The sequence below is a fragment of the Homo sapiens genome, chromosome 9, assembly GCF_000001405.40.
Source record: "Homo sapiens chromosome 9, GRCh38.p14 Primary Assembly".
In the NCBI taxonomy this organism is placed as follows: Eukaryota; Metazoa; Chordata; class Mammalia; order Primates; family Hominidae; genus Homo; species Homo sapiens.
Window position 1 is genome coordinate 68,276,072 of NC_000009.12, and position 23,046 is coordinate 68,299,117.

Consider the following 23,046-nt stretch of genomic DNA (forward strand, 5'->3'; position numbering starts at 1 on the left):
TCACGTGTTTTTTGGTGGCATAAATGTCTTCTTTTGAGAAGTGTCTGTTCATGTCCTTCGCCCACTTTTTGATGGGGTGGTTTGCTTTTTTCTTGTAAATTTGTTTGAGTTCATTGTAGATTCTGGATATTAGCCCTTTGTCAGATGAGTAGGTTGCGAAAATTTTCTCCCATTTTGTAGGTTGCCTGTTCACTCTGATGGTAGTTTCTTTTGCTGTGCAGAAGCTGTTTAGTTTAATTAGATCCCATCTGTCAATTTTGGCTTTTGTTACCATTGCTTTTGGTGTTTTAGACATGAAGTCCTTGCCCATGCCTATGTCCTGAATGGTAATGCCTAGGTTTTCTTCTAGGGTTTTTATGGTTTTAGGTCGAACGTTTAAGTCTTTAATCCATCTTGAATTGATTTTTGTATAAGGTGTAAGGAAGGGATCCAGTTTCAGCTTTCGACATATGGCTAGCCGGTTTTCCCAGCACCATTTATTAAATAGGGAATCCTTTCCCCACTGCTTGTTTTTCTCAGGTTTGTCAAAGATCAGATAGTTGTAGATATGCGGCGTTATTTCTGAGGGCTCTGTTCTGTTCCATTGATCTATATCTCTGTTTTGGTACCAGTACCATGCTGTTTTGGTTACTGTAGGCTTGTAGTATAGTTTGAAGTCAGGTAGTGTGATGCCTCCAGCTTTGTTCTTTTGGCTTAGGATTGACTTGGCGATGCGGGCTCTTTTTTGGTTCCATATGAACTTTAAAGTAGTTTTTTCCAATTCTGTGAAGAAAGTCATTGGTAGCTTGATGGGGATGGCATTGAATCTGTAAATTACCTTGGGCAGTATGGCCATTTTCAGGATATTGATTCTTCCTACCCATGAGCATGGAATGTTCTTCCATTTGTTTGTATCCTCTTTTATTTCCTTGAGCAGTGGTTTGTAGTTCTCCTTGAAGAGGTCCTTCACATCCCTTGTAAGTTGGATTCCTAGGTATTTTATTCTCTTTGAAGCAATTGTGAATGGGAGTTCACTCATGATTTGGCTCTCTGTTTGTCTGTTGTTGGTGTATAAGAATGCTTGTGATTTTTGTACACTGATTTTGTATCCTGAGACTTTGCTGAAGTTGCTTATCAGCTTAAGGAGATTTTGGGCTGAGACGATGGGGTTTTCTAGATATACAATCATGTCGTCTGCAAACAGGGACAATTTGACTTCCTCTTTTCCTAATTGAATACCCTTTATTTCCTTCTCCTGCCTAATTGCCCTGGCCAGAACTTCCAACACTATGTTGAATAGGAGTGGTGAGAGAGGGCATCCCTGTCTTATGCCAGTTTTCAAAGGGAATGCTTCCAGTTTTTGCCCATTCAGTATGATATTGGCTGTGGGTTTGTCATAGATAGCTCTTATTATTTTGAAATACGTCCCATCAATACCTAATTTATTGAGAGTTTTTAGCATGACGGGTTGTTGAATTTTGTCAAAGGCCTTTTCTGCATCTATTGAGATAATCATGTGATTTTTGTCTTTGGTTCTGTTTATATGCTGGATTACATGTATTGATTTGCATATATTGAACCAGCCTTGCGTCCCAGGGATGAAGCCCACTTGATCATGGTGGATAAGCTTTTTGATGTGCTGCTGGATTCGGTTTGCCAGTATTTTATTGAGGATTTTTGCATCAATGTTCATCAAGGATATTGGTCTAAAATTCTCTTTTTTGGTTGTGTCTCTGCCCGGCTTTGGTATCAGGATGATGCTGGCCTCATCAAATGAGTTAGGGAGGATTCCCTCTTTTTCTATTGATTGGAATAGTTTCAGAAGGAATGGTACCAGTTCCTCCTTGTACCTCTGGTAGAATTCGGCTGTGAATCTATCTGGTCCTGGACTCTTTTTGGTTGGTAAGCTATTGATTATTGCCACAATTTCAGATCCTGTTATTGGTCTATTCAGAGATTCAACTTCTTCCTGGTTTAGTCTTTGGAGGGGGTATGTGTCAAGGAATTTATCCATTTCTTCTAGATTTTCTAGTTTATTTGCGTAGAGGTGTTTTTAGTATTCTCTGATGGTAGTTTGTATTTCTGTGGGATCGGTGGTGATATCCCCTTTATCATTTTTTATTGCGTCTATTTGATTCTTCTCTCTTTTTTTCTTTATTAGTCTTGCTAGTGGTCTATCAATTTTGTTGATCCTTTCAAAAAACCAGCTCCTGGATTCATTAATTTTTTGAAGGGTTTTTTGTGTCTCTATTCCCTTCAGTTCTGCTCTGATTTTAGTTATTTCTTGCCTTCTGCTAGCTTTTGAATGTGTTTGCTCTTGCTTTTCTAGTTCTTTTAATTGTGATGTTAGGGTGTCAATTTTGGATCTTTCCTGCTTTCTCTTGTGGGCATTTAGTGCTATAAATTTCCCTCTACACACTGCTTTGAATGTGTCCCAGAGATTCTGGTATGTTGTGTCTTTGTTCTCGTTGGTTTCAAAGAACATCTTTATTTCTGCCTTCATTTCGTTATGTACCCAGTAGTCATTCAGGAGCAGGTTGTTCAGTTTCCATGTAGTTGAGTGGTTTTGAGTGAGATTCTTAATCCTGAGTTCTAGTTTGATTGTACTGTGGTCTGAGAGATAGTTTGTTATAATTTCTGTTATTTTACATTTGCTGAGGAGAGCTTTACTTCCAAGTATGTGGTCAATTTTGGAATAGGTGTGGTGTGGTGCTGAAAAGAATGTATATTCTGTTGATTTGGGGTGGAGAGTTCTGTAGATGTCTATTAGGTCTGCTTGGTGCAGAGCTGAGTTCAATTCCTGGGTATCCTTGTTGACTTTCTGTCTCATTGATCTGTCTAATGTTGACAGTGGGGTGTTAAAGTCTCCCATTATTATTGTGTGGGAGTCTAAGTCTCTTTGTAGGTCACTCAGGACTTGCTTTATGAATCTGGGTGCTCCTGTATTGGGTGCATATATATTTAGGATAGTTAGCTCTTCTTGTTGAATTGATCCCTTTACCATTATGTAATGGCCTTCTTTGTCTCTTTTGATCTTTGTTGGTTGAAAGTCTGTTTTATCAGAGACTAGGATTGCAACCCCTGCCTTTTTTTGTTTTTCATTTGCTTGGTAGATTTTCCTCCATCCCTTTATTTTGAGCCTATGTGTGTCTCTGCACGTGAGATGGGTTTCCTGAATACAGCACACTGATGGGTCTTGACTCTTTATCCAATTTGCCAGTCTGTGTCTTTTAATTGGAGCATTTAGTCCATTTACATTTAAAGTTAATATCGTTATGTGTGAATTTGATCCTGTCATTATGATGTTAGCTGGTTATTTTGCTCGTTAGTTGATGCAGTTTCTTCCTAGTCTCGATGGTCTTTACATTTTGGCATGATTTTGCAGCGGCTGGTACCGGTTGTTCCTTTCCATGTTTAGCGCTTCCTTCAGGAGCTCTTTTAGGGCAGGCCTGGTGGTGACAAAATCTCTCAGCATTTGCTTGTCTGTAAAGTATTTTATTTCTCCTTCACTTATGAAGCTTAGTCTGGCTGGATATGAAATTCTGGATTGAAAATTCTTTTCTTTAAGAATGTTGAATATTGGCCCCCACTCTCTTCTGGCTTGTAGAGTTTCTGCCAAGAGATCCGCTGTTAGTCTGATGGGCTTCCCTTTGAGGGTAACCCGAACTTTCTCTCTGGCTGCCCTTAACATTTTTTCCTTCATTTCAACTTTGGTGAATCTGACAATTATGTGTCTTGGAGTTGCTCTTCTCGAGGAGTATCTTTGTGGCATTCTCTGTATTTCCTGAATCTGAATGTTGGCCTGCCTTGCTAGATTGGGGAAGTTCTCCTGCATGATATCCTGCAGAGTGTTTTCCAACTTGGTTCCATTCTCCCTGTCACTTTCAGGTACACCAATCAGACGTAGATTTGGTCTTTTCACATAGTCCCATATTTCTTGGAGGCTTTGTTTGTTTCTTTTTATTCTTTTTTCTCTAAACTTCCCTTCTTGCTTCATTTCATTCATTTCATCTTCCATCGCTGATACCCTTTCTTCCAGTTGATCGCATCGGCTCCTGAGGCTTCTGCATTCTTCACGTAGTTCTCAAGCCTTGGTTTTCAGCTCCATCAGCTCCTTTAAGCACTTCTCTGTATTGGTTATTCTAGTTATACATTCTTCTAAATTTTTTTCAAAGTTTTCAACTTCTTTGCCTTTGGTTTGAATGTCCTCCCGTAGCTTGGAGTAATTTGATCGTCTGAAGCCTTCTTCTCTCAGCTCGTCAAAGTCATTCTCCGTCCAGCTTTGTTCCGTTGCTGGTGAGGAGCTGCGTTTCTTTGGAGGAGGAGAGGCGCTGCGTTCCTTTGGAGGAGGAGAGGTGCTCTGCTTTTTAGAGTTTCCCGTTTTTCTGCTCTGTTTTTTCCCCATCTTTGTGGTTTTTATCTACTTTTGGTCTTTGATGATGGTGATGTACAGATGGGTTTTTGGTGTGGATGTCCTTTCTGTTTGTTAGTTTTCCTTCTAACAGACAGGACCTTCAGCTGCAGGTCTGTTGGAGTACCCGGCCGTGTGAGGTGTCAGCCTGCCTCTGCTAGGGGGTGCCTCCCAGTTAGGCTACTCGGGGGTCAGGGGTCAGGGACCCACTTGAGGAGGCAGTCTGCCCGTTCTCAGATCTCCAGCTGCGTGCTGGGAGAACCACTGCTCTCTTCAAAGCTGTCAGACAGGGACAGGTAAGTCTGCAGAGGTTACTGCTGTCTTTTTGTGTGTCTGTGCCCTGCCCCCAGAGGTGGAGCCTACAGAGGCAGGCAGGCTTCCTTGAGCTGTGGTGGGCTCCACCCAGTTGGAGCTTCCTGGCTGCTTTGTTTACCTAAGCAAGCCTGGGCAATGGCGGGCGCCCCTCCCCCAGCCTCGCTGCCGCCTTGCAGTTTGATCTCAGACTGCTGTGCTAGCAATCAGCGAGACTCCGTGGGCGTGGGTCCCTCCGAGCCAGGTGCGGGACACAATCTCCTGGTGCGCGGTTTTTTAAGCCCGTCAGAAAAGCGCAGTATTCGGGTGGGAGTGACCCAATCTTACAGGTGCAGTCTGTCACCCCTTTCTTTGACTAGGAAAGGGAACTCCCTGACCCCCTGTGCTTCCCAAGTGAGACAATGCCTCGCCCTGCTTTGGCTCGCGGATGGAGCACGCACCCACTGACCTGCGCCCACTGTCTGGCACTACCTAGTGAGATGAACCCGGTACCTCAGATGGAAATGGAGAAATCGCCTGTCTTCTGCGTCTCTCACGCTGGGAGCTGTAGACCGGAGCTGTTCCTATTCGGCCATCTTGGCTCCTCTCTCCTCTCTTCACTTTAATAATGGATTAGTTTTCTGCCTTCTCCTGTGGGGAATCTTTTTGGTAAGGGAGGGAAGAAAGATTAGTTATTCTTGTGCATCGGTATCTTTTTCTTTTTTTATTGTAGTAAGAACATCTAACATGAGATCTACCCTCTTAACAATTTTTTAAGTGTACAATACAGTATTGCTAACTATAGGCATGAGAATGTGCAGCAGATCTCTGGAACGTTTCACTCTTTAAAACTGAAGCTTTATACCCCTTGAATAGCAGCTTCCCATTTCCCTGTCTTCATAGCCCCTGGCATCCACCATTCTACACTCTTTCTGTGGGGTTGACTATTTTAATTACCTGACACAAGTGGAATCATGCATTATTTGTCTTTCTGTGACTGGTTGATTTCATGTAGCATAAAGTCATCAAGGTTCATCCATGTTTTTGCATATGGCAAGGTTTCCTTTTTAAGTCTGAATAATATTCCATTTTCTACATATACCACATTTACTTTATCCCTTTTTCTGTTAGTGGACATTTAACTTGTTCTCACAGCTTGGCTATTGCAAATAATGCTGCAATGAATATCTCATAAGTCTCATATATGTCCATACAAGATCATGAAAATGGACATGTCTCTGGGTATTTTGAATTGGTGGGACAATTTTGCTTAAGGGTAGGCATAGTGGGTGGCTCTACATTTGAGAGTTCTAATTCCCATTCCTATATATATTTCTTTTCTTTTTATTTATTTTTTTGAGATGGGGTTCTCTGTCACTCAGGCTGGAGTGCAGTGGCACAAACATGGCTTACTGCAGCCTCAGCCTCCTGGGCTCAAGTGATCCTCCCATCTCAGCCTCCCAAGAAGCTGGGACCACAGGCATGTGTCACCATGCCTGACTAATTTTTTTTTTTAATTTTCTATAAGCATGGGGTCTTGCTATGTTGCCTAGGCTGGTCTCAAACTCCTGGGCTCAAGTGATCCTCATGCCTCAGCCTCCCAAAGTGCTGGGATTACATGTGTAGGCCACCACACCCAGCCTTATAAATATATTTCTAATTTTGGCTTAGCCATGCCCTTAAAAACTAATTCTACTTTCAACTAGTTTTTTTTTCCACCTTCAGTCTGTAGTATTGTTCACATTTTGAAAACAATACCTACAGTAACCTGTGAGGTAGGACATGATAGTGTTTTATTGGACCCCTTTTACTTTATGAATTGGAAAAATTAAATTTGCATGTAGTTTGTAAAAAAAAAAAATAAAGAAAGAAAAAAGAAATTGATTGAGATTATTTCAGCAGCCAGAAGTGTGGGACAGGCAGGGCAGTTATTCCTCCTTCTCAGTTTGGAAACTGAAGCTCAGAGAGTAAACTTGTCAGTGACACAGTTATTCAAGAAGTTGTCTTCAGTTGAGAGATATGTTTTTCACCTGTAGCTTCTGGTATTGGAGGAGTACCTTTTTAGACTAAACAAATTACAGTTAAAATTATAAAGGTATTTTTGGAGTACCTGGAAAAAATCAGCATTTTGCTTTTCTAGTTCCATTTAGTAGGAAGGCAGGAAAGTTTGGTATACCTGAATTACATGTGAGTTATTTCTATTTTTCTAAAAATTCTTATAAATTGTGTAAGGTAAAAATGACTACTTCTTGTTTTATGGTAAATATAGTTATATCCTTTCAAGCCACTGCTGTACAAAGTTGTGAAATCTCCCTGAGGCTTTTTCCCTCATGTCAGCTTCAGGTATCCAGTATCACTTATGCTTGATAATGATTGTATGAAAATCATTCAGAATTATACTATGTTTTTTCATATAAAGCTTTTGTTTTACTAATTTTGAAATGACTGTTCCTCCATTAAGCGAATACAGCCCTAAGCATAAATTTGGTTTGTTCATTTAAAAATGGTCTTTTTTTCCCATCTTAGCTCTGGCTTTACTAGGGAGATAGATTGGCTGAGGTTGTCACCTAATTCTGGGAGGTTAAGAGCCTTTGTCTTTTGCTACCCATTTCTGAAATAACCAGAAGTCTAGCCCATCCTAACTTTTCTCTCGATGATCCTTTTCTTCTTTTTACTTCAAGGTTCCAGCCCTTCATTTGACTATCAGTGCTGTTTCACTAGTTAGCCATGATCGCTTTCATCCGCCGTGTCTGGATTAGAACTGTATTTTTAATTTGATGCTGTGGGCAGTTTTGATAGTTACAGATCCTGTGATACATTTAAATGTGTTTACAAGGGGAACAAATGAAACAATGCTGCATGAAATTTGCCTTTCTTTTTTTTTTTTTTTCCCCTTGGAGACAGGGTCTGGGTCTATTGCCCAGGCTAGAGTGCAGTGGTGCGATGTCAGCTCCCTATAGCCTCTGTGTCCTGGGCTTAAGCCATCTTCCCACCTCAGACTCATGAGTAGCTGGGACTATAGGCACGCACTACCATGCCTGGCTAATTTTTTATTTTGGTAGAAGATGAGGTTTTGCCATGTTGCCGAAGCTGATCTTAAACTCCTGGGCTTAAGTGATCTGCCCACCTCAGCCTCCCAAAGTAATGGGATTATAGGCGTGAGCCACCACACTTGGCCTTTTCTTTTTTTCATATTTATTTAATTATTTTATTTTATTGAGACAGAGTCTCACTCTGACACCTGGGCTGGAATGCAGTGGCTATCATGGCTCTCTGCAGTCGTGAACTCCTGGACTCAAGTGATCCTCCCATCTCAGCCTCCTGAGTAGCTGGGACTACAGGCTTGCACCCATGCCTGGCTAATTTTTTTATTTTTACTTTTTTGTAGTGACAGGCTCTCGCTACGTTGCTCAGGCTCGTCTTGAACTCCTGGCCTCAAGTGATTCTCCTACTTGGCCTCTCAAAGTGCTGGGATTATAAGCCTGAGCCACTGAACCCAGCAAAATTTGCCTTTCTTAAACTAATTTATCTCTGTTGGGTCCAAGAGCTTACAAGTTGGTTGTCATTTAATATGTTAAACACTAGAATATTTTTTAGTTGAAGTTTTATTTTTTCCCTTTACATATTGTATCCTTTAGTGCTTTATTTCACTAATAAGAATTATAGTATGCAATCATTTCCCACCTCTATATTCAGTATATCAATTTTTGTTTTTCCTTTCTACTTCTGTCTTTTGCTATAATTTGCTGTAATACAGGTACTTTCATCAAGGCATCCAGTTCTTTATATCATTCTATATTTTTACTTGGGAGAAATAGAAATGTTGCTAATTCCATCTTACTGACAATACCTAAATTATTGTTTGTTATAGAACATAATGATTTAAATATACAAAACACTAAACTGTTTGAGATTTTTTACATTTTATGCGTGCAGAATTTACATTTTATGTGTGCAGAGACAAAAATTGTTATAAGATTACAAGTTAATGTGCAAGATGATTTCCGATTCATGAGTTTCAGGTTTTGATAGCATATCCTTATCCACTAGATTAGTCTTTTAAAAATGTGTATGATAGGGAAAAAATCGAGGGCATGAAATTCTGAGACTTATGGGAACTAAACTTAAATGTTCGTTGTTAGATTTTTTTTTTTTTTTTTTTTTGCTGCGTATGAAGTTTTAGGCAGTCATTGTCCAACAACATTAAATACTGAACATATGGGAAAAGCATATGATTTTTCGAAATGTTTTTCTAAAGTAATCTCATTCTACATACACTTAAGAGCAGTTATAATGCTTTAGTGACACTTGAAGTAGCTATTTAATGTGATCTCACCACTATAGGGAAGGCCGTTGCATGACTTTTTTGTGTGTGCTTAACTGCTAAACAGGAGAATCTTTTCCTGAGCAACCAGCTGGGAAGGATTTAATTTGACATTCTCCCTACTAGGACCCCCCCAAAGAGACTCATTCCCTCCAATAGTTCCTACAAGTTCTTTCTCTTTCCTAAACTTGCTGTTACTAATTTACCCCTCACTGTTCTTCAAGGCAAAGCATCTGCAAGGTTTTCAGTCCTTTCCCCCTCCCGTCCTGTCCCCATCAGTGTTGAAATGTATGCTACAGTTATTATGGTTGTAATTTGTTATGCCATGTTGATCTTCTTGTGCTTTTCATATCAGAACAATGTATTTTTAACATTCTGACTTTCTTTTTCTCTCAATTGGTAACTGACTATATAGAAAATTTATATTTATGGATACTATTTCTTTTTTAATAAGTTCAAGGGAAAACATTGATAAAGGAAAATTTATCCTTTCAACTTTCTTTAGGTGCCAGCATTATTTTCATATTAGGAAGCAGGAGAAAGTTAAGGAACTCTAAGCAATACTAGAATGGTTATATATATATTTAAGTTTGTATTAAACCTGTTGGAATGGTAAAGAAATTTACTGACATATTTAACCATACAAAATAGTGTTGCTAAAAGACTAGTTTTTCTCTTTATTCTGTGCATATGTATATATATGAATGTGTGTTTTTTTTAAGAAATTTTAAAAAAACTTAATCTGCCAGCTTTTCTCTATTGGAATTTGCGAACAACTTGTAAAATTGGAATTACAGAATATTAGAATAGTCAGTTATGGAAAGTCACTTCATTATCCTTGTGTCACTAAATAACGTATAAAGTTAAATCAGAAGTGTATTCATCTCTGAATTTCTAATCAGTTGTTTTTAGTTTGCAGAAAAAACTTCAGCATGTGCCAGGAACACAACCTCACCTTGATCAGGTAAAGAAAAAAAATCTAAATCCAAAATTTCTAATCAATGTTTTTAAAGGACCTCTTTAACTAGATAGGCTATGTTTAGGACTATTTTATTATAAACTTTTTCTAAAATGGTATTTTTGAACTGTGTTGATAATTTTTGGAATCTTAAATGCTTTTGACATAGTCTAATTCTATTTCTTAACACATAATAGGAATTCATCAAACCAGATTTGTTTTAGAATCTGAGGAAACCATGCTTTCTAGCCTTTCCATTCTGTAGATTGCTTAGCATATTGGTTAGTTCTGATAGGGATTACTCCTTAAAAGCAGCCTGGGGGTTCTATAGGCAGTCTGTTTTTAAGTATGTTGAATTGTTTAAGGAAAGGTCTGATATAAGCATGGCTTATTTAAATAAAAATTGACTTGGAGTTTCACCTTCAGGTAGCACTATAAATTTGAACTCCTTAAGATGTTTTTCATGCTCTAAAATTCTAATCCCTAAGGTAAATATCTAAGATGCTAGGAACAATTTAAATATAATTTTACTGTACCTGCGTTTCTGTTAAGCAGATCATAGATCGTAGAGCTTTAGGATAACTTCTTTGTTCCTCTTAAAACCCTGAGGGGTGGAGTGGGGGATGTGTAAGTGAGCAGTGTGCCTAATCTTCCTTCCTCTCTCTCAAGTGATCACTCAATTTTTGAATTGCTATTGGTTGTAATAGGGCCAAGATAACAGCTACTTGCATTTGTATTCATTTTGGTTCACATTTATGAGCAGGTTTGCTACTATGTTTGTGGCACCTTTCCCTGTGAAACTTTTGTTAATAGGATATTCCTCTTCACTTATCTTTAAAATGAATAAATGAGAGAAATACAAGTCCTTGGAGATAGAATTTATGGTAAAAAAAAAAAAAAACTCAGTTCTTTATGATAGTCGGTATCTGTCATATAGTTGAACATGAAGCACATTTGAGCTTCTGGGTAAAGAACGTGATGCCAAGAATCATAGGGATGAAAAGATGAAGCAAACGCAGTACTCACTTACCATGAACATTTGGAGCAGCCAGTGTCTCCATCCATAGAATCTCGAATGAACCCCTATTGTGGCAGTTATGATGCCTTGTAGTTTGGTTGAAATGCTTTTGCCTTGCATTAGTCTATAAATTCCTTAAATATAAAATCTTTATTGCTTAGTACAGGGCTTGGTGGATACTCAGTGAATATTTGTTAAAAGAATGAAAAGCTGTGTTTCTCAAATGGGGTATAAATCAGAATCACATGTGGAGCTTTTTTAAAAAAAATTCGATAACTCAGTAGTTCTCACCCCTCAGTCTCCAGGATTGGGACTTGGGTATGTGTATATTAATGTATATTTTTAACATTTTATTATGGAAGATTTCAAAGATATAAAAGAATAAACAGAATAGTAAAGTAAACCCCTTGTATGCATCACCCAGTTTAAATGGCATCAACATTTAGCTGATTTTATTTCACCTATCCTCCCAACATTTCTTTTGCCTGGAGTATTTAAAAAAAACAAATGTATTTTAATAGGAAATTTCAAACGTGCATAAGAGTAGAATAGTATAATGAGCCTGTATGTACCTATTGCCCTTGGTGTAGTGTATTAAAGCAAATTCCAGACATTATGTCACTTTACTACTAAATAGGGCATATCTATATTTTTGTAGCCTCTGTAGGAGATTCTGATGCACTGTCCTGCTTTAGATAATATAAACATAGGGAAAAATAGTATCACAGCCAAAGGGCTATGGGATTCAGAGGCAAGAACAATTTCATTTGGTTTAGTGGATCTGAGGTGTAAGGGAGGAAATTTATCTTTTCCTCGCCTATCACTAGATTCATGGCTGAGGTCTCTCTAACAGAAGACCAACTATCAAGAGAAATTTCAACATAGAAATTTATTTAGTAAGTTTTACTTGACACAGGAGCCTTCATAAAACATACCTGTGTATGTTTTCTGTTAGTTATGGTATGGAAGAGGATAGTTAATGGAGAAGCATAATTAGATAAAACAGTATGATCTAATAATAAACTGGGAAGAACTTAGCAAGGCCTGTTTGTTCAGATTTTTCTCTGTGACCCTTCATATTCAGACTTAAGGATGTTCTTTTCCTCTGTGTATAGAGAGGGCACCTCTTAAATGAGGGTCTTATGACCTGCATCAGCGGAAGGTCAGAAAATCTTTCCTAGGTTTTATGACCTGCTTCAGGAGAGAAGGTGAGAGTGACCTTCCTGATTCTGCCATTTTCTCAAATATTGAGTTGCCATATTTTGGGATAGCATGTCCTGAACCCCATCAAATGCTTCATGAGGATAGTTTTTTGTTTGTTTGTTTTGGTTTTGGTTTATTTATTTGCATAAAGCATGCAAATGTGTAATTTTAGTGTACAATTCAATGTTTGGGTTTTGTTTTTGTTTTTGTTTTTTTGGTTTTTTCTGAGACGGAGTCTCGCTCCGGCTGGAGTCTCACCCAGGCTGGAGTGCAGTGGTGTGACCTTGGCTCACTGCAACTTCCTCCTTCTAGATTCAAGTGATTCTCATGCCTCAGCCTTCTGAGTAGCTGGGATTACAGGCATGTACCACCATGCCTAGCTAATTTTTGTATTTTTTTTTTTTTTTTTTTTTTTTTTTAGTAAAGATGGGGTTTCACCATGTTGGCCAAGCTGGTCTCAAACTCCTGACTTCAGGTGATCCACCTGCTTCGGCCTCCCAAAGTGCTGGGATTACAGGCGTGAGCCACTGTGCCCGGCCTCAATGTATTTTTACATATATTTGTACCTATATATCTGTCTATATGCACATTCAAACACATATCCTTCTAACTCCCACTCAGGTCAAGATACAAAAGATATCCAAAATTGTAAAGAGTTCCTTTTTGCCCCTTCCTAGTCAAAGAAGGGGTAAGTGCTATTCTGACTTACTTAACAAAAAATAACCTTGAACTGGTAGGATTTTTTTTGACGGTAGGATTTTTTTTGACAGGAAGAAGTAAGGAAAAGAGCAATATGGATGTTTAAAAATGAGAAGGTGAGAATCTTATAGATGAGTAGGTCTCTGGTACAGAAGTCTTAGTGGAGAGTTGGTACTGGAATCCTGGTCTAAGGTATTAGGTTTTAATTTGCTAGACAAAGAAAACTCAAGCAGTGCTGTCTAGGAGTGTTATGTAAGCTAGATTGGACTTTAGAGTCAGGAGACCATGCGGGAAGATACTGTGTGATAAGGGCCTGAAACATGTTGGTTACAGTGAGACTAGAAATGGGATAAATCCAGAGCTGTTTCACCAGTAGACTTGCCTGAATATCCTGTCTGACTGAGTATGGATCAGAAAGAAAAGAAGGGGTGATGGGAAACAAGCCTAGATTGACTAGAGAAACCTAGAAATAGAAAAATCGGGAAGGCAAAGTGATTTGGATGATAATGCCATATATTCAGTTGTCCCTGGTGGCCAGATATTATAGTATAGATATTATACAGGCAAAGAAGAACAGAGGGATAGAGTGTGAAGGTACAGATTTTGAGTTTAAGCACATTAGGGGGCTTAGTGTTCTGGATGAAGAAAACATATAAAAGTTATTGTATGTTAGGTATTGTTTGCAAAAGAGTAGAAAATGGAGAAATAACCCAGTGGGTTAAAGAAGAAACGGACTAAATAAACAAACCTGAGTAAGTTGTTCCTAAATTTTATTTTAGAGACAATTCCTCATTTTGCTTTAGTTTTCTCAATTATTGCCTCACTTTTCTGTTTCTTTCTGTGTCAGCATACATGGAAAAAGGAGTTAATTTTAGATTCAAAACAAAAACTGGAAAAAAAAAGTCTGAAATGGGTAATACCTAGGACCTAGTATATATGTGTTATTAAGGCTCTATCCCTGAATTTTTAATGCAGTTATCTATTTTTCATGGATTCTTTGTTTATTCCCCATAAGGAACACCTGGGTTTGGAGAGTGGGAAGGTAGATGAGAAAACCCAAGTGACAAATAATGTTTAGTTTATTATTAGAACCAACTATGAGTTGTGACCCTTATCTTCTGCACTGGGAATTACAGATTTTTTCAGGGTTTTTCTAACATGAAAAGAGTTTATTGGTGTAGGAAAACATCTGGTTCCAAAATGTAGATCATCCTTCTTGAGCTTTAATTTTTAAAGCCTTTTTTGTCTCATACTGGAGTTTATTGTACCCCTTAAAAATATTAAGTCACATATTTAACCTGTTAAAAGCAAAAATCATTATAAAAATCTTTAGGCTGGGTGTGGTGGCTTATGCTTGTAATCCTAGCGCTTTGACAGGCCAAGGTGGGTGGATTACTTAAAACCCAGGAGTTGTAGACCAGCCTGGGCAACATGGTGAAACCCCATTTCTGCAAAAAATACAAAAAATTAGCCAGGCATGGTGGCATGTACCTGTAATCCCAGCTACTCGAGAGGCTGAAGTGGGAGGATTGCTTTAGCTTGGGAGTTCAAAGCTACAGTAAGCCATGATTGTGCCACTCTACTCCAGCCTGGGCAACAGAGTGAGACCCCATCTCAAAAAAATTTATTCAGTTAAAATCTTTAACAATAAAGCAATTTTGAGTCGTATTTTGCGACATTCTCAATATAGTTTTCCAACTTGCATTAAAATACATTTTAAACATTTTTGAAGACTAAATTTATTTTTTTTTAACTGACAGTTATGTTTCATTTGACAACCTTTTGCTGTATATTTTTATGTGGACTTTTAGGTATTGTAGTGATTCCTTTAATGAAGAAATAAAATAATTGTCATTTAAAAATGCATATTATTATTACCTTATGCTATAAAAATAGTTTTAAAATAGAGTATGTTTATTAAGATTTAAAAATAAGTATAGTCATGCACTGCATAACAGCGTTTTAGTCAGACTGCATAAGATTACGATGGAGCTGAAAAATTACTGTCACACAAATACTTACCATTGTGTTATTATTTCGATACACTGTTCAGTACAGTAACATATATGCTGTACAGGTTTGTAGCCTAGGAGCAACAGGCTAATACAGCATAGCTTAGGTGTGTAGTAGGTTATACCATCTAGGTTTGTGTAAGTGCACTATCATGTTTGTATAACAACAAAATTGCCCAACAGCTCATTTCTCTTTATGTATCCATGACTGTATATTTTTTATTGTGGTAAAAAACACTTAACGTGAGACCTACCTTCTTCCACAAATTTTTAAGGGTACAATATAGTATTGTTAACTGTCTGTACATTGTTATATAGCAGATCTCTAGAACTTTTCATCTTGCATGACTAAAATTATACCCATTGAACAGCACCTCCCAATTTTCGTCTCCCTCTCACCCCTGGTAACCACCATTTTACTTTCTGATTTGATGAGTTTTACTGTTTTAGACACCTGATATTAGTGGATTCATGCAATATTTGTCCTTCTGTGACTGGCTTATTTCACTTAGTGTAATGTCCTCAAGATTCATCCATGTTGTAGTATATGACAGGATTTTTTTTAAGGATACATAATATTTGGTTGTATGTATATTACCACATTTATTTTATCCATTCAACTGTCCTGGACATTTAGGTGGTTGTTAGTGTCTTGGCTGCTGTGACAAAATAAGTAGTTTTAAAAGTCTCACATTTGCAAGTTCAATTTGAATCTTTTTTTAGTCTGCTTGTACTTCTCTTATCAAGCAAGAAAGCACTTTTCCGCTTTTCCTATTACTACTAACAGTGGAGATTAAGTATCTCATGTTTTTGGGCGTTCTAGAGCCCAACACATCACCTGTTCCTTTCCATACTACCACAACTGACACTCTCTGGAAAGTGCCACCTCCCTGCAGCAGGCCAACCAGCACAAAAATAGTACATTAAACCAGCAAAGCTAAGAACCCTCAAAGAGTACATTTCACCCTCCTACCACCTCCACTGGAACAGGTGCTGGTATCCACAGCTGAGAGACCCACAGATGGTTCACATCTCCCGACTCTGTGCAGACTACCCCCCAGTACCAGCCTGGAGCCTGGTAGACTTGCTGGGTGGCTAGATTCAGAAGAGAGAGAGCAATCACTACAGCTCAGCTCTCAGGAAGCCACATCCATAGGAAAAGGGAGAGAGTACTACATCAAGGGAACACCCCGTAGGACGAAAGAATCTGAACAACAACCTTCAGCCCTAGACCTTCTCTCTGACAGAGCCTACCCAAATGAGAAGGAACCAGAAAACCGACCCTGGTAGTATGACAAAACAAGGTTCTTTAACACCCCCCAAAAAATCACACTAGCTCACCAGCAATGGATCCAAACTAAGAAGAAATCCCTGACTTACTTGAAAAAGAATTCACTAGGTTGGTTATTAAGCTAAGGCACCAGAGAAAGGTGAAGCCCAATGTAAGGATATATATATATATAAAAAAGATACAAGAAGTAAAGGGAGAAATATTCAATGAACTAGATAGCATAAATAAAAAACAATCAAAACTTTAGGAAATAATGGACATACTTATAGAAATATAAAATGCTCTGGAAAGTCTTAGCAATAGAATTGAACAAGTAGAAGAAGGAAATTCAGAGCCTGAAGACAAGGTCTTCTAATTAACCAAATCCAATAAAGACAAAGAAAAAAGAATAAGAAAATATGAAGAAAGCCTTCAAGAAATCTGGAATTATGTTAAATGACCAAACCTAAGAATAACCGGCATTCCTGAGGAAGAAGAGAAATCTAAACGTTTGTTAAACATATTTGGGGGAATAATTGAGGAAAACTTCCCCAGCTTTGCTAGAGACCTAGATCCAAATACAAGAAGCACAAAGAACATCTGGGAAATTCATCGCAAAAAGATCATCATCTAGGCACATTGTCGTCAGGTTATCTAAAGTTAAGATGAAAGAAAGAGCTGTGAAACAAAAGCACCAGGTAACCTGTAAAGGAAAACTTACCAGATTAACAGCACATTTCTCAGCAGAAACCCTGCAAGCCAGAAGGGATTGGAACCCTATCTTCAGCCTCCTCAAACAAAACAATTATCAGCTGAGAATTTTGTATTCAGCAAAACTAAGCTTCATATATGAAGGCAAGATACAGCTTTTTCAGACAAACAGAGAATTCACCACTACCAAGCCACCAGTGCAAGAATGCTAAAAGGAACTCTAAATCTTGAAACAAATCCAGGAAACATATCAAAACAGAACCTCTTTAAAGCATAAATATCACAGGACCTATAAAACAAAAATACAATTAGAAAAACAACAAAAACCAAAAAAACAAGGTATACAGGCAACAAATAGCATGATGAATAGAGTGGTACCTCACATCTCAATACTAACATTGAATATAAATGGCCTAAATGCTCCACTTAAAAGATACAGAATTGCAGAATAGGTAAGAATTCACCAACCAACTATCTGTTGCCTTCAAGAGTCTCATCTAACACATAAGGACTCACATAAACTTAAGGTAAAGGGATGGACCGAGACATTTCATGCAAACGGACACCAAATGTGAGCAGGAGTAGCCATTCTTATATTAGACAAAACAAACTTTAAAGAAACAGCAGTTTAAAAAGACAAAGAGGGACATTATATAATGAAAAAAGGCCTTGTCCAACAGGAAAGTATCACAATCCTAAACATATGCACCTAACACTGGAGCTCCCAAATTTATAAAAGAATTACTAATAGACCTAAAAAATTAGACAGACAGCAACACAATAATAGTGAGGGATTTTAATACTCCACTGACAGCACTGGACAGGTCATCAAGACAGAAAGTCAACAAAGAAACAGTGGATTTAAACTATACCTTGGAACAAATGGAGTTAAAAGATATATACAGAATATTCCATCCAACAACCACAGAATATACGTTCTGTTCAACAGCACATGAACTTTCTGTAAGATAGACCATATGATAGCCAACAAAATGAGCCTCAATAAATTTTAAGAAAATTAAAATTATATCAAGCACTTTCTCAGACCACAGTGGAATAAAACTGGAAATCAACTCCAAAAGGAACCTTCAAAACCATGCAGATACATGGAATAACCTGCTCCTGGATGATCTTTGGGTCAAAGATGAAATCAAGATGGAAATGTAAAAATTCCTCAAACTGAATGACAATAGTGACACAACCTATCAACCTCTGGGATACAGCAAAGGTGGTGCTAAGAGGAAAGTTCATAGCCCTAAATGCCTACATCAAAAAGTTGGAAAGAGCACAGACAATCTAAGGTCACATCTCAAAGAACTAGAGAAACAAGAACAAACCCAGCAGAAGAAAGAAGATCAGAGCGGAATTAAATGAAATTGAAACAAAACAACAAAAAAATCCAAAAGATAAATGAAACAAAAAGCTGGTTCTTTGAAAAGATAAATAAAATTGATAGACCGTTAGCAAGATTAGCCAAGAAAAGAGAGAAAATCCAAATAAGCTCAATAAGAAATGAAACGGGAGATATTACAACTGACACCACAGAAATACAAAAGATATTCAAGGCTACCATGAACACCTTTACATGCATAAACTAGAAAACCTAAAATAGATGGATAAATTCCTGGAAAGATACAACCCTCCTAGCTTAAATCAGGAAGAATTACCCTGAACAGACCAGTAACAAGCAGGGAGATTGAAATGGTAATTAAAAAATTACCAACAAAAAAATGTCCAGGACTAGACGGATTCACAACAGAATTCCACCAGATATTCAAAGAAGAATTGGTACCAGTCTTAAAGACACTATTCCACAAGAGAGAGAAAGAAGGAATCCTCCCTAAATCATTCTATGAAGCCAGTATCACCCTAATACCAAAACCAGGAAAGGACATAACCAAAGAAGAAAACTACAGACCAATATCCTTGAACATAGATGCTAAAATCCTTAAGAAAATTCTAGCTAACTGATTCCAACAACATATCAAAAAGATAATCCACCATGATCAAGGGGTTTCATACCAGGGATGCAGGGATGGTTTAACATACACATGTGCGTAGCCAAAGCAAGACTAAGCAAAAAGAACAAATCTGAAGGCATCACATTACCTGATTTCAAACTTATACTATAAGGCCATAGTCACCAAAACAGCATGGTACGGTTATAAAAATAGGCACATGGACCAATGGAACAGAATAGAGAACCCAGAAATAAACCCAAATACTTACAGCCAACTGATCTTCAACAAAGCAAACAAAAACGTAAAGTGGAAAAAGGATACCCTTTTCAACAAATGGTGCTGGGATAATTGGCTAGCCACATGTAGGAGAATGAAACTGGATCCTCCTCTCTCACTGTATACAAAAATCAACCCAAGATAAATTAAAGACTTAAATCTAAGACCTGAAACTATAAAAATTCTAAAAGATACCATTGGAAAAATCATTCTAGACATTGGCTTAGGCAAGGATTTCATGAACCCAAAAGCAAATGCAATAAAAACAAAGATAAATAGCTGGGACTTAATTAAACTAAAGAACTTTTGCAGAGCAAAAGGAAAAGTCAGCAGAGTAAACAGACAACCCACAGAGAAGGAGAAAATCTTTCATAATATATACATCTGAAAAAGAACAAATATCCAGAATCTACAATGAACTCCAACAAATCAGCAAGAAAAGCAGTCCCATCAAAAAGTGGGCTAAGGACATGAATAGACAATTCTTAAAAGAAGATATACAAATGGCCAATAAACATATGGAAAAATGCTCAACATCACTAATGATCAGGGAAATGCAAATCAAAACCACAGTGCGATACCACCTTACTTCTGCAAGAATGGCCATAATAAAAAAATCAAAAAAATAGTAGATGTTGGCATGGATGTGGTGAACACGGAACACTTCTACACTGCTGGTGGGAATGTAAACTAGTACAACCACTATGGAAAACAGTGTGGAGATTCCTTAAAGAACTAAAAGTAGAACTACCATTTGGTCCAGCAATCCCACTACTAGATATCCACCCAGAGGAAAAGAAGTCATTATACAAAAAAGATACGTGCACACGCATGTTTATAGCAGCACAATTCGCAATTGCAAAAACGTGGAACCAACCCAAATGCCCATCAATCAATGCGTGGATAAAGTAACTGTGATATATATACATACAATGGAATACTCCTCAGCCATAAAAAGGAGTGAATTAATGGCATTCACAGTGACCTGGATAAGATTGGAGACTATTATTCTAAGTGAAAGAACTCAGGAATGGAAAACCAAACATCGCTATGTTCTCACTCATAAGTGGGAGCTAAGCTATGAGGATGCAAAGGCATAAGAATGACACAATAAACTTTGGGGACTCAGGGAGAAAGGGTGGGAAGGGGATGAGGAATAAAAGACAAAAATTGGGTGCAGTGTATACTGCTCAGGTGATGGGTGTACCAAAATCTCACAAATCACCACTAAAGAAGTTAACCAACACCACCTGTTCCCCAGTAACCTATGGAAAGAAAGAAATGTCTCATATGTTTCTGCCTAAATTGGTCTTTAATACTTTAGCGATTCTCTTGAGTTTGGATTATAAAATAGTTTTTGGTCTTTTTGTATTTTCTGCTGTAAGCCTGTATGATTATGTAATGGTGAGTAAAATTGCTAGGCCAGATACGCAGTTCTAGGAAGTTATGCAAAGATGTGCTTTAGTATATTATTTTCTACCTTTTTAAATTCATTTTGAGCTTGGCTTTTGAGCCTCTATTTTCCAAGGTGGGGTGTATGTTTTTATAATGTTATGCTTAGCCCTTGTGTATTTTCATCTCTGAGTTTGAAATTTGGGGTTATATTGGCAAAGGGAGGTTTGGGTTTTAATTAGGTGACCTGTTAGAGGAAATGTTAAGCTTCTGTTTCTTTAGGGTAGACAGTGAGAGATTTATCAAGATAAAGAAGAAAAATAAATCCTAAAGTTAATATTCAATACATGATGATGTCACCCTTACTAAAGCCAAAGAGGGCATTATCCTATCATTCTCATCGCTAAGAACTCTTCTCCTCTTGGCACATGCTTATTCAGTTAAAGATAAGCCAAGCCTTTCTTTTGTATTTTTTTTTTAAGAGAACAAATTTACTTTGGTTTTGAGTTTTATTCCTGGCTCTGGGTAGCTTATTTTTTTGACCCTTATTTTCCCCAATTTATAAAATGAAATAGTTATCTTCACTCCCCAGGATTGTTGTGAAGAGTAAGTCAAAAGATACAATGAGGTGACTCAGGCAAAAGTACCTGGCCCTGTGTAGTGAGTACATTGTATGTGTTACATATATTCTTATTCCTGAGAATCCACGAAAGAATGAATTAAATAATGAGGACCCTTTCATCAGGGTTTCTGAGTGAGTTTTTTAAAATACAAGGTAGTAGTTTGTGTAAATACTAAATCCATTGGTACCTGTGCAGAATGTAGGAAATGGAGTTGCTAATTCCAAAAAAACAGCACATATGCTGAGGAAAGTATAATACGTAATATATATGGTTTAAGCAATGTAAAATTCCATGAATATGTTCCTTTCATCTTAAAATTTGTGATTTAAAAAACATTGATATTACTATAAAGAATTATTATTATTTCCCTTGATTTACAGAGTATTGTTACAATCACATTTGAAGTACCAGGAAATGCAAAGGAAGAACATCTTAATATGTTTATTCAGGTGAATGCAATTTTTAACTGATTAATGATTTATCAATGGTTTTGTTACATAGTTGTTGCTATTAGCGATGGTTGGTCTTATTAAAATATGTCACTTGATACAGAATCTTCTGTGGGAAAAGAATGTGAGAAACAAGGACAATCACTGCATGGAGGTCATAAGGCTGAAGGTACAGTTTACTGTTGCAGACTTTTGGACAAAGTCCTTTTCTTGGCTGTTATAAAAACTATATTTGGTTTTAAACAGAAACACTGGTTTTAGTACAAATCATCTTTGTCTACTTTCATTTTTCTTTATTATTTTCATGACTGAAAAGGAGCTTTGGAAATCACTGCATAAGGCTTGATTTATTTGCACAACTTTCTTTAGGGTTGCAGCTAGAACAAACCTGTGTGCTTTGAAATGTTACCTTCTGCTCTCTGTTCCCAAGTACAGAGAAATAATGTTGCAAATCTCACTTCTGCTGAACATTATGCTTCCTGATGCATTTAGCAGACACTAAACATTTGTTGTACTCTAAACAAAGTTACAAAGGACTAGAAGAATTCTTGTTCTGTATTTAGAAACCCACTCACATTACTTGATATTTGGGTATTTAAGTCATGAAAGGTATTTCTTCTAGGAAGCAGTGATTCTAAAGTGTATGCTTAACCAGTCAGTTGAGTGTCTACTCTTGTGTGTTCACAAGTGTGCACAAAGTTTTTGGTAAATTAAGAATATTATTTCAAATAAATTAATTTCATCCCCATAGGAGCCAGTTTATCAGATAATTCGTTTCTCATTTCTGCAAATCAATACACAATGAGCTCATATTCAGATAAATTGAGCTCATATCCAGATAAATATAATAGTTTTTCTTTATTTCAACATTGTTCATTGATTGCAACCCATTTCTAAAACAAATTATTTAATATAACAAAACTCCTTTAACTTCTCAACTTTTCCCACTAAAACTGTGAAACATTATATAAAATCTTTAATCAATAGGATATGATACATATTTCATCATTTTGTTTCAGGTTTTGGTTGTGATAAATAACACTGAAAAACCATCCTAATATATGTATTAACTTTATCATTAGAAAAGGGGATTGTTCAAAAAAAAATCAATACACAGAAACCTTTTTTGAAAATTAAAAACATTAAGAAACTTCTTGTAATTCACAAATAATTGGAATTAAGTAATTTTCTCAGCTTAAGAGTTTGTATTTTTTAAGTGAATATCAGTAATTAATCCATTAACATTGATGCTCTATTTCTGCTTTTAAGTTTGAACTGAGGCTGATTAATGTTCAGTCAATTCTCCTTTGAGCAGGGATTGGTGTCAATCAAAGACAAATCACAACAAGTGATTGTCCAGGGTGTCCATGAGCTCTATGATCTGGAGGAGACTCCAGTGAGCTGGAAGGATGACACTGAGAGAACAAATCGATTGGTCCTCATTGGTAAGTCTCAAAGGATTCACAGTT

The 23,046-nt window shown here is 37.2% G+C and overlaps 1 protein-coding gene and 1 long non-coding RNA gene across 8 annotated transcripts in view, besides 2 other annotated features; both read left to right on the forward strand.

Moving 5' to 3' along the window:
- Positions 1-23,046, forward strand: part of ZNG1C (Zn regulated GTPase metalloprotein activator 1C) — a 58,053-nt gene that overhangs the window by 34,089 nt on the left and 918 nt on the right. For 5 of the 7 annotated variants that reach the window (NM_201453.4, NM_001378114.1, NM_001291821.2 and 2 more), the window contains 4 exons: positions 9,918-9,969; positions 21,509-21,577; positions 21,681-21,746; positions 22,893-23,022. In NM_201453.4, coding sequence (NP_958861.2) covers positions 9,918-9,969; positions 21,509-21,577; positions 21,681-21,746; positions 22,893-23,022 — 317 coding nt within the window. The remainder of the gene's footprint in view (positions 1-9,917; positions 9,970-21,508; positions 21,578-21,680; positions 21,747-22,892; positions 23,023-23,046) is intronic. The other 2 variants (NM_001378113.1, NM_001378117.1) reach the window with 1 other exon arrangement.
- Positions 4,410-4,993: an enhancer, noted in NCBI's record as "H3K27ac-H3K4me1 hESC enhancer chr9:70895397-70895980 (GRCh37/hg19 assembly coordinates)". NCBI's record gives its function as "activates a minimal SCP1, AML or CMV promoter by ChIP-STARR-seq in naive H9 embryonic stem cells {active_cell/tissue: H9 hESC(naive)}" and the evidence as "EXISTENCE:reporter gene assay evidence [ECO:0000049][PMID:30033119]".
- Positions 4,994-5,577: an enhancer, noted in NCBI's record as "H3K27ac-H3K4me1 hESC enhancer chr9:70895981-70896564 (GRCh37/hg19 assembly coordinates)". NCBI's record gives its function as "activates a minimal SCP1, AML or CMV promoter by ChIP-STARR-seq in naive and primed H9 embryonic stem cells {active_cell/tissue: H9 hESC(naive and primed)}" and the evidence as "EXISTENCE:reporter gene assay evidence [ECO:0000049][PMID:30033119]".
- LOC124902173 (uncharacterized) lies at positions 9,977-16,348 on the forward strand. Its single transcript, XR_007061560.1, has 2 exons — positions 9,977-12,872; positions 12,955-16,348. It is a non-coding gene; the product is annotated as an uncharacterized LOC124902173 (long non-coding RNA).